At 49.8% G+C, this 11,345-nt stretch overlaps 1 protein-coding gene across 8 annotated transcripts in view, besides 2 other annotated features; it reads left to right on the forward strand.

Moving 5' to 3' along the window:
- ZNF862 (zinc finger protein 862) overlaps positions 1-11,345 on the forward strand; it is a 29,105-nt gene that overhangs the window by 13,408 nt on the left and 4,352 nt on the right. For 6 of the 8 annotated variants that reach the window (XM_011516464.2, XM_017012519.2, NM_001099220.3 and 3 more), the window contains 2 exons: positions 7,640-7,744; positions 8,601-10,712. In XM_011516464.2, coding sequence (XP_011514766.1) covers positions 7,640-7,744; positions 8,601-10,712 — 2,217 coding nt within the window. Of the gene's footprint in view, positions 1-1,143; positions 1,287-4,484; positions 4,580-7,639; positions 7,745-8,600; positions 10,713-11,345 lie in introns of those variants that run through there. The other 2 variants (XM_011516465.3, XM_011516466.3) reach the window with 2 other exon arrangements.
- Positions 3,534-4,087: an enhancer, noted in NCBI's record as "H3K27ac-H3K4me1 hESC enhancer chr7:149552405-149552958 (GRCh37/hg19 assembly coordinates)". NCBI's record gives its function as "activates a minimal SCP1, AML or CMV promoter by ChIP-STARR-seq in primed H9 embryonic stem cells {active_cell/tissue: H9 hESC(primed)}" and the evidence as "EXISTENCE:reporter gene assay evidence [ECO:0000049][PMID:30033119]".
- Positions 4,088-4,639: an enhancer, noted in NCBI's record as "H3K27ac-H3K4me1 hESC enhancer chr7:149552959-149553510 (GRCh37/hg19 assembly coordinates)". NCBI's record gives its function as "activates a minimal SCP1, AML or CMV promoter by ChIP-STARR-seq in primed H9 embryonic stem cells {active_cell/tissue: H9 hESC(primed)}" and the evidence as "EXISTENCE:reporter gene assay evidence [ECO:0000049][PMID:30033119]".

An 11,345-nucleotide genomic window follows, 5' to 3' on the forward strand; every position in this document is an offset into this window, starting at 1 on the left:
GAAATCTCAGCTAACTAAGGTCTTTAAATTTTATTTGGATGAACAAAAAATGTAATCAGAGGGAAGGGAACTCATTTTCCTCGAGGGTCAGAGGCAGGAATCAGAAAGGCTTTCTAGGGGGTGGGCCTGGCCTCTCCGGTTGTCTGTGAAATTGAGACAGGTATGGGAGTCTAGAAACGGAGTTGCATGTGTGTGATTCCTTTCAGTTACTTTAATTGGATCTCTGGTTATCCTTGAACTATCCCCGAATTTAAACAGTTCTTCATGTTTGAGATATAGAAGCATCTTAAGGAGCCTGGGGACTATGGGCAGGGCCTGGCATAAGCTATTTGTATGTTTAAAAGTGGTATATAATAGTATTAAATTGGGATATAAAGTAGTGTTAAAACATAGTGGAGATTCTTTAATTGTTATTATTATTTTTACTTTGGCTTGTTTTTTTTTTTATTTCCCACACTTTACCCTCCATAACAAATGCTCTAAGAGTTGAAAACCAAATATTATTTTGCATTATCTTTTAATACACAAAACAACTTCTTGGGGTGAACTCAGTTTTGTGTGTGTGTGTGTGTGTGTGTGTGTGTGTGTGTGAGAGAGAGAGAGAGAGACAGGCTGTCACTCTGTCACCCAGGCTGGAGTGCAGTGGTGCCATCATAGCTCACTGTAACCTTGAACTCCTGGGCTCAAGCAATCCTCCTGCCTTAGCCTCCCAAGTAGCTGGGACTACAGGCGCATGCCACAACACCTGGCTAATGTTTAAATTTTTTTGTAGAGATGGAGTCTCACTTTGCTGCCCAGGCTGGTCTCAAACTGCTGGACTCAAGTGATCCTGCTGACTTAGCCCCCAAAGTGTTGGATTACGGCGTGAGCCACTGCACCTGGCTTGCCATATCTGATGAAGTCTGTTGCTTCTTCCCAAAAAGCAGCCAGAAATCTCAATTACATCCCACTGTTAAGAAACTAATATTTGTCATTAATGGAAATAGACAGGCCAACATAGGGACTATGTGGGTAGCCCTTGCTTTTATTTGTAAAGGTGTCATCGTATGCTGAGTGGCCACTCACTGCAGGCGGGCAGTTTCTTGTCCACAGGAGAAGTCGGTAACTACAGCCAGGCCTTACAGAGCTGGGGGAAGGCGTTGTGTCACTCATGGAAAACAACACTGAGTGGGAGGGCCCTAAAGAAGATGAGCAGGGGAGTTCGAGTCCCCCAGCTTCTCCACGGCAGGACATGTGATGATGGCCTCCAAGTGGGGGCAGCCGGAGCTAGAGAAAGAAGAACCAAGGTGAGGGGCTAGAGTGGCATCTATTTATTTGTTTGTTTGAGATGGGGTCTCTCTATATTGCCCAGTCAGGACTGAAACTCCCGGGCCCAGGCGATCCTCCTGCCTCCATCTCCGGAGTATCTGGGATTACAGGCACACGCACTGCACCTGGCTAGAGTGGCTTTTGCAGAATGGATTCATGGGATAGGGCCTGCTGGCCCTTGGTGAAGTTAGCCTGGAAGGATGAGGAGTCCTTTGTAGGCCAAACCATTGTTATGGACTGTTATGGAATGTGGGTGTTTGTGGGTGTGTGCACGCACTCGCCACAGTTATGTGCCCTCCTTCTTTTTCCATTACTAAGTCATAGAAAACGCTGAAAATTCCCCTCCATTTCATTTGTTTGGAAGGGAACAAAAAGAAGAGGTTTTGATAAGATGTAGGCTGCAGCTTCAGAGAGGTACCATCAGGGTACGGTATTCCTGGGGCCAGGGTAGTGGCGCCAGCGGCAGTCAAAGGTGGACAGTACCCAAAAGGAATATAAATGGAGGCAAACAGATTTGGGAACATTTGGTCCCTGTTTGTTTTCAATTATTCTTTAAAAATATTTCTGCCGGGTGCGGTGGCTCACGCCTGTAATCCCAGCACTTTGGGAGACTGAGGCAGGTGGATCACCTGAGGTCGGGAGTTCGAGACCAGCCTGGCCAACATGGCGAGACCCCATCTCTACTAAAAATACAAAAATTAGCCGAGCGTAGTGGCACACACCCTTAGTTCCAGCTACTCGGGAGGCTGAGGCAGGAGAATCGCTTGAACCTGGGAGGTGGAGGTTGCAGTGAGCCAAGATCGTGCCACTGTACTCCAGCCTGGGCGACAGAGCCAGACTCCATCTCAAAAAAAAAAAAAAAAGAAAAATGACAGTCCCCTGTCCCACCTTTCTCTTTTACAAAGTCCTGTTCCCCAGAATCTTGTAGCTGTTTCTTCCAGTAATTTGCCGCATTATTTCTAAATAACGTATGTGGACATTATCTTAGGAGGGACGGACTCCAGCAGGACGCGCTTATAAAACAATTGCATCCTCCCGTTCACCGCTGAGCGTGTCAGCTCTGGGGGCCTTTTCTTTCTCACCCTCTGGGTTAAATCTAGGCAGGGCCTGGAACTTTTTCTTATCACACTCAAATAACATGAAATCTTCCTGTTCTAATTTCAGTGAGTGCAATGCCTGGTACAAAACTCTTCAAAAGTGTCCCGATCAAAAAAAAGACAGAGAAAGGCTGGCAAACTACCTCAATTAAAGGAGACTGAAGAGGTGTGACAACTTGAGTGCATGATGCTAGGACAGATGCTGGGCTATAGAGACATTTTGGGGACAAGTGAAGAAATTTAGTATGAACTTAGATTAGATAATAGTATGATATCAGGGTTGAGTTTCCTGGTTTTGATCATTATAACTCTGGTTATATTATAACTTTGCTTTCTGCTGCCCCATTTCAAAGGACTGCAGACTCATGTATTATCTCACAACTCTGCAGGTGGGGAGTCCAGGTGGGCCTGATCAGGTTCTCTGCTTAGAGTCTTAGCCCAAACCAAGGGGCCGGCCAGGCAGGCTCCTGTCTGGAGGCTCTGAGCTCACTTATGCTGTTGCCAGAATCTAGCTCCTTGCGGTTCTCCTGCTGCCTGCCAGCGGGGAGCACTTTCAGCCCAGGAGCTGCTCTCAGGTGCTTCCCTGTGGCCCCCTCCGTGCTCAGGCCGGCAGCAGTGTTTGGAATCGTCACGTGCCCTGAAGCTCTGACTTCCTGGGCTGCTGCCAGCTGAGAACAGCACCAGCTTTTAAAGAGCTGTGTAATTAGGTCGGCTCCACTGGCTAATCTCCCTTTGCTGTGCAAGGTAACGTGATGACAGTGTGACCTCTCATCCTGTTCAGAGTCCCCTAACCTCAAGGGGTAAAGGTTAGGCCAGGGTGAGGGCCCTGGAGCCCATGTTCGAATCCCACCTACTACCTATGAAAGGGTCCTTTTTTGTTGGGTAATACACATGAAGTATTTAGGAATAAAGGGACATGCAAACAATTTACTCTCAAATGGTTCAGAAAAATATTGTAGCTATACGTATAGACCCAGCAGGAGAGCGTGCCTGTGAGCTCACAAGCATGCTGGAACACATGGGGCAGAATGTCAATGATTGGAGTTCCTTGTGTTATTCAATCTTTTCTGTAAATTTGAAATTATATCAGAGATTTACCAAAAGGAAAATGTAGGAAACAAAAGCCCCGTCTCTGTGTAGTAGTAGAAAATCTGGACTTCATTTAACACTCAATTCTTGCCTTTCCCTCCTCAACCTGCTGCGGCTGTAGAATCTGGACCCATGCCATAGGAAGAAAGGGGCTCCTCTTCTCCCACCCCCTGCTGGTTTCAGAATTTCTGACTCATCCTCAGTGGGAATGGCGTTGGTGGGTGGGAGAGGTATAAGAAAGGTTTCATTTGACATGTAATCTGACACCAGCTACTTAGAGCTGTAGTCCTTTAAAGCTGGTTCTCTTCTTTGGGTGTTTGTGGGTTCTGCAGTACCCCCAACAGGCACTGAGACCCTCTCGCTTGCAGTTGCCTGGACATGGGTGAATGTCTGCCCTGGCAGCCTGTCTATATAGGCGCCTTCACAGGGGAGTATCACACTGGTAGCCAACCGTCACGGGCAGGCCCCACAGACAACGCCAGGCCTCTTCTCATTCCCCATGTGGCCCACATCTGAACCATAGAAGCACTTCCAGACCCTGTGCTCTCCCAGACCTGGGATTGTAGGCCTTTCTCGACATGGCCACCTCCAAGGCACCCCATGGCTACCTTAGTCTTATCCAAGGCTGGACTCGTGGCCATTCACGGCTCCCAGAGATACAGGTCAGGTTAAGGGAAAGGGCGCACCCACCACTCCCCACAGTCAGAGAGGCTCACAATATCCTTGACAATGCTTTCCAGAAACATCCCTGGTGCCCAACTTCCTGGCTCCTTCAGTCTCAGCTCTGTGACTCCTCTCGATGGGCGCAGGCTGGAGCCACAGCCCCTGGCCCTCAGCCATTCTCTTTCCAGGTCATGTGTCCGTGTCTGGCTTTGGAATGAGGAAGAGCTGGCTCCTGCTCTGGGGGCTTTCAGCCGGAGCAGGCAGCCGGAATCACACTTTCATATCCTGTGGCTTATGTTTATTGTATTCCTGATTTATTGATTTTAGATATTCTCTATTGATTCCTACTGTGGAAGATGGAGATACGGCCCTGTTACATCACCTGGGCCCCCGCTTCTCTTCCCTCCATCCTCTCAGAACAGGTACATCACACTTTGTTGGTTACATTGGTATAAATTATTTGCCCAGTTATGATTATGTGTGATTTACTGCTGAACAAGGTGGTGTATTGTGATGGTGTTGCCTTCATTGTCGGACTCTTCCCCCTCGAATTGGAAAATTTTTTCTTCTTTTTCATTTTTCTCACTTTCTTTACCCTCATCAGTTCTTCCCAGACTGTCCAGTGGAATTATAAAACTCCTCCGAAGAGTCTTTTCCACGTGACGGGACATCCTGTGATCTCTCCATTTCATTCTTTCTCTGGAGACTTCGCTCCGGGGCCTTCTCCTCCCCTGCTCTGTCTGACCCAGGCAGCTGTTAGGCCTGCGGCACACCTGTGGTCTGAGATGTGCCTTTGTCTCTCCCCCATTTCCCGAGTCTGTCTCTTCTTTTGTGGTTGACGTCTTCATCTTCTTAGTGTACATCCTCCAGTGGCTTCCTAAGGAAGGGTGCAGGGGAGGCCTTCTTTCTGTGACGCATCCTGTCTAAAAACATCATATTCTTCCCTCATGATTCAGTGATAACTTGTTTGGGCATATAGGATTCTAGGTTGGAAATACTTTTCCTCAGCATTTTGAAAGCATTGCCCTTTTAGGTTTTACTGGTGCTATTGAGAGGTCTAGTGCCTTCTTATTCCAGAATCTTTGAACATGACATATTTGTTCTACTCTGAAAGCTTTTGAAATTGATTTCAATTTTCTCAAATTTTTAATGATATGCCTTGATGTTTTATATAAAGTGTGTTTTTAATCTTTTTTTTTGGGTATCTGGTGTTTCCCTTCCATGTGGAAACTGGTCTTTCCCTGTTTGGGAAAATTTTCTTGTATGATTTCTTCCTATTTTCTCTTTTCTTTCTTCCAGAAATTCCTTCCTATTAGTTTGATATTGGACTTCCTGGATTGAGTCTCTGGTTTTCTGTTTGTGTCTTTTTCTCCTATTTTCTGCTTTTATCTTTTTTATACTACTTTCTTGGACATTTCCTCCATTTTATTTTCTAACAATGCTATTTTTTTTATTCTATTGGGTTTTTTAGTTGCTAAACACTGTTATTTCCTCTTTCATGAATGGCTATCATGAGTTTTCTTTCTAGGAATATTAATTCTCATTATTTTGAAGTTTTGTTTTGCTTCCTGCTGTATTTCAAGTTTTTCCAAATCTTTTCCTACTTGTTTTGGTTTCTCTCTTTCATGTTAGAGGCTTTTCTTAAATAATTATCTCTCGGTTCATTCCTGTGTACGAGTAAGCCTTAGAAACGGACTGGAAGCCCTGTGCATGGCTGCAGACCTGTGCATGGCTGGGAAGCATCAAGAGTAGGTTTCACTTTTCACTGTAGGATGACCAGTTCTTCTTACTGAAGAACCCACAAAAGTCAGTGTCCATAGATCTTTTGAGGGGAGAGGGAAGGGCAATTCCATTTTTCCAAAGAAAACGCTTCCCGTCTCCTGTTTGGAGGGTATGATAAGCCCAGCCAACATTCTTGGAGTCGAGCAGTGCACCCCTTGGTCCATAGACATGACTCGATCTCCCTGCTTTCAGTACCGCACCACCCCTTCACCTTTCTGTGTACGTGGTATATGGGGTCTGGAGCCTTTCTGGATAAGTTTTTCTGTAGGCCAAACCTCTGTTCTCCTCTGGGGTGTGGTGGTGGTGTTTCCTGGTTTCCCGGAATAGGTGAGAGGACCTGGGATTGATCAGATCTCTGTCAGATTTGAGCCAGTCCACTGCTCCCACCCATTCCCCATCCACCACGTTCTCCCATACCTGTTGCCTGCAGTTTCTGAATCTTTCTGGGATTCTCTGGTACCAACCAGCTTGCTTCTCCTTGTTAACCCCTCTGCAGGCATTTGGTGTTCAGCTCTGTTTGTTTCTCTTTCTTTTGTCTCCTTCCCTTCCAAAAATGGACTTGCATTCCTAATCCAATTTATCTTGGGCTTATACCTCATTTTGTTATTTTTATTCCTTTGCCCTCATTTTAGAGATATTTTAAGAAGGATATATGTTCAATTTAACACACTTTAGTAATTTACTTATTTATATTTTTATTAGTAGTAAATATGTAGATATTGACACACACATATATGTATCATTATATATATAAGTATATTCAAGCGATCCAAAGATGAGTAGTGGAAACCAATCTCCCTTTTCCTTTGTCCTTCACTTCCTCCCCAGGAGCACCCACAGGCCCAGTTGCTTGTGTGGCTCTCCACAGAAAGTTTATGCACACATTCACATAGACACACACAAAAGCATGATGTAGATAGTGATGGATTTTATTTTCAATAGAGGAAATGGTTTATCTGCATACCCCTGAACAATATTCCTATTTTAAGTAAAGGTTAGTGCTTAATCCAAAGACACAAATCTCCTTTAGTCAGATTTCAGGCTCCATTGCAGGTGGTAGGTATTTCAGGGGGCCCTCCAAGTGCCCCTTTCAAAAACCCATGTAGTTGGTCACCTTCACAAAGGCCAGCTGTGGGGGCAGAGGGGCACACGCATGGGCCAGCTGTGGGGGCAGAGGGGCACACGCATGGGCCAGCTGTGGGGGCAGAGGGGCACACGCGTGGGCCAGCTGTGGGGGCAGAGGGGCACACGCGTGGGCCAGCTGTGGGGGCAGAGGGGCACACGCGTGGGCCAGCTGTGGGGGCAGAGGGGCACACGCGTGGGCCAGCTGTGGGGGCAGAGGGGCACACGCGTGGGCCAGCTGTGGGTGGCACCTTCCACTTCTCATATGGCTGCTGTTTCCCCCTGCCTCTCTCTCCTGCTTAGTCCCTATGTTTCTTCCTGTTTCCACCCTTCCCCCTCTGGTGTGTATGGCTGGCCCATGGATCTGAGGAAGCCCTATCCTAGCTGAGGGCTGCCCCTCCCCTTACTGCCTCTTTGGCACTCTGGGTTTGCGCTCAGCCTGCCCCTGGCCGACTAGACTTTATAAGGACAGAACCCAGAGACACCTCTGTGTACTTCAGGGACTGGGTCTAGCTTGAGGGGGCTACTCGATTTGGCCACAGCAGTGACATCAGCATGATTCTTCATCCTTACAACAGGACCTGCCGCTGCCAAGCCAGACTTGATCTCCAAACTGGAGCGGAGGGCTGCACCCTGGATCAAGGACCCAAATGGGCCAAAGTGGGGGAAAGGTCGTCCTCCAGGTGAGTGTAAACCTACAGCATTCTGAAGGACATGTGCCAGGGCCCAGGCGGCTATGATGAGTCAAACAGCATGAGCTCAGCTGTGCTCATCTGATGGGGGCCGATTGGGCACCAAGCCTGGCAGGAGGCCCTGGGTAGACAAGATGAATAAGCAACTAACCCTGCCCACAGAGTGTAGAGTAGTCTGGGAAACAGGGAAAAAACAGGTCCTTTTGTAAGCAGAAGTACTGATGGAGGCTGTGGCAGAGCTGGTGGGAGCAGGTACGTGGGGACACTGGTCTCGAGGAGCCAGGGGACCCAGAGATCTGTGAGCCTCTCATCCCTTCTCCCTCCTTCTCCAGTGCTCGGTGACAGCACTATTGGTTTGTGAGAATTCGTTGTCTTGCCTATCTCAATCAGTAATTTCTTGGCTTGTAGTTGCTACACTTACTTCTGTACCTACTTCCTTCTGAGGCTTGTAAAAGCCTTGGCAGGTGTTTAACCTATTCTATTGTGGAGCCTCACACGAGAGTGAAAGCCACCTGCTTATCCAACAGTCTCTGTGGCCAAGGGGGTTAATTGAACTTATTGGTATCTGGTGTCACATGATCCCAGGGTAGCTGTGTGGATAGGGTGGTTGGGGCGCTGGTGAAAGAACCCACAAGGATTAGCAACAACTCTGGGGGAGCCAGATGAACTTTCACAGATGAGAATGGGTGAGGGTTTAAGTGGACGCCACTTTCTCTAGAAAGAAGGATTGCATTCATCTTCTCTGCCTTGCTTAAGGGATACTTATTAAATTTGGGGGTGTCTTAGCTGATAGAAGATGGCAGAGTTCTGGGTAGCAGAACCAAGCATGATTCAATTTTCTCCAAAGGGAACAAGAAGATGGTGGCAGTGAGAGAGGCAGACACACAGGCCTCGGCTGCAGACTCCGCGTTGCTTCCAGGCTCTCCCGTGGAGGCCCGTGCCTCCTGCTGCAGTTCCAGCATTTGTGAGGAAGGAGATGGACCTAGGAGAATCAAGAGGACATACAGGCCCCGTTCCATTCAGAGGTCATGGTTTGGGCAGTTCCCATGGTTAGTAATTGACCCCAAAGAGACCAAACTCTTCTGCTCAGCCTGCATAGAAAGACCTAATCTCCATGATAAATCATCTCGGTTAGTCAGAGGTTACACGGGGCCTTTTAAAGTGGAGACTTTAAAATACCATGAAGTCAGCAAAGCGCACAGGCTCTGTGTCAACACGGTTGAAATCAAGGAAGACACCCCTCACACTGCCCTCGTTCCAGAGATCTCCAGCGACCTCATGGCCAACATGGAGCACTTTTTCAATGCCGCCTACTCCATTGCATACCACTCAAGGCCCCTGAATGACTTTGAGAAGATCCTGCAGCTCCTCCAAAGCACGGGGACCGTGATATTAGGCAAGTACCGCAATCGCACGGCGTGCACTCAGTTCATCAAGTACATCTCAGAGACCCTGAAGAGGGAGATCCTGGAGGACGTGCGGAACTCGCCCTGTGTGAGCGTGCTGCTGGACAGCTCCACCGACGCCTCCGAGCAGGCCTGCGTGGGGATTTACATCCGCTACTTCAAGCAGATGGAGGTGAAAGAGTCCTACATCACTCTGGCCCCTCTCTACAGTGAGACAGCAGATGGGTACTTCGAGACCATCGTTTCTGCCCTGGATGAGCTGGACATCCCCTTCCGGAAGCCTGGCTGGGTGGTGGGGCTGGGGACGGATGGCTCAGCCATGTTGAGCTGCAGAGGAGGCCTTGTGGAAAAGTTCCAGGAGGTCATCCCGCAGCTGCTGCCTGTCCACTGCGTGGCCCACCGGCTGCACCTGGCTGTGGTGGACGCCTGCGGGAGCATCGATCTGGTGAAGAAGTGTGACCGGCACATCCGCACCGTCTTCAAGTTTTATCAGTCCTCAAACAAGAGGCTGAACGAGCTGCAGGAAGGTGCGGCGCCTCTGGAGCAGGAGATCATCCGCCTGAAGGATCTGAATGCGGTCCGCTGGGTGGCCAGCAGGAGGCGCACGCTGCACGCGCTGCTCGTGAGCTGGCCCGCCCTGGCCAGGCACCTCCAGAGGGTGGCAGAGGCTGGGGGCCAGATTGGGCACCGGGCCAAAGGGATGCTGAAGCTCATGCGCGGCTTCCACTTTGTCAAGTTCTGCCACTTCCTGTTGGACTTCCTGAGCATCTACAGGCCTCTGTCCGAGGTGTGCCAGAAGGAGATCGTGCTGATTACAGAGGTGAACGCCACGCTGGGCCGCGCCTACGTGGCACTGGAGAGCCTCCGTCACCAGGCAGGGCCCAAAGAGGAAGAATTCAACGCCAGCTTCAAGGATGGGCGGCTCCACGGCATCTGCTTGGACAAACTGGAGGTAGCGGAACAGCGGTTCCAGGCGGATAGGGAGAGGACAGTCCTGACGGGGATTGAGTACCTCCAGCAGAGGTTTGACGCAGACCGACCCCCACAGCTGAAGAACATGGAGGTGTTTGACACCATGGCCTGGCCAAGTGGGATTGAACTTGCCAGTTTTGGGAATGATGACATTCTCAACCTGGCCAGGTATTTCGAGTGCTCCCTCCCAACAGGATACAGTGAGGAAGCTCTGCTGGAGGAGTGGCTGGGCCTGAAAACCATTGCCCAGCACCTCCCGTTCTCCATGCTCTGCAAAAACGCCCTGGCCCAGCACTGCCGCTTCCCCCTGCTAAGCAAGCTCATGGCCGTGGTGGTCTGTGTGCCCATCTCCACCTCTTGCTGTGAGCGGGGGTTCAAGGCCATGAACCGAATCAGGACCGATGAGAGGACCAAGCTCTCCAACGAGGTGCTCAACATGCTCATGATGACAGCTGTGAACGGCGTGGCCGTCACGGAGTACGACCCCCAGCCCGCCATCCAGCACTGGTACCTGACCTCCTCAGGCCGGCGTTTCAGCCATGTCTACACCTGTGCCCAGGTGCCAGCCCGCTCCCCTGCAAGTAAGTACACGTGGCAGAGCTCCCCCAAGGCAGCCTCATGCTGAGCCAGAGGCCAATAAGACAGGACTGCAGGTGCCTGTGGAGCTTCTGTCATGCACCCACCCATTTGCTAGGCCAGTGGGTACTCGATGCGTGACATCCACCCTCCAGGAGCTTGCACCCCTGCCAGGGAGATGACGCACATGTGCTCTAGGCAGCAGGGCTTAGTGCAGAGAGCGTGCATTTCTAGAGCCTGTCTGCCCTGGTGACAGTGCTGTGCTGGCTCTGCCCCCAACTGGCTGTGTGGCCTTGGGCAAGTCTGTCCTTTGATGCCTTGGTTTCTCATCTGCCGAATGAGTTGTGTGTGGAAAACACTCAGGACAATGCCTGGCAGGTGGTGCAAATGGTACTAGTTAAAGGTCAAGACCACTGCTGGGAGTAAGGAGAGGGCTGACCAGCCCCAGGCAGCGCCATCACATTCTAAGTGGGGCTGTATAGACTCTGGACCGTGCAGGAATTTTCAAGAGGGAAGAGGTCCATGTGGCTGTGGAGGAGGTGAGATGCGGAGGAGATGGTGGGGCTTTCAGGCAGAAATCTCACGGGGCAGGGGAGAACAGAAACAGCCTCTCTGGACCGGAGGGCTGGGGTCAAGAA

This window comes from Homo sapiens, chromosome 7, assembly GCF_000001405.40.
Source record: "Homo sapiens chromosome 7, GRCh38.p14 Primary Assembly".
NCBI classification, from domain to species: Eukaryota; Metazoa; Chordata; class Mammalia; order Primates; family Hominidae; genus Homo; species Homo sapiens.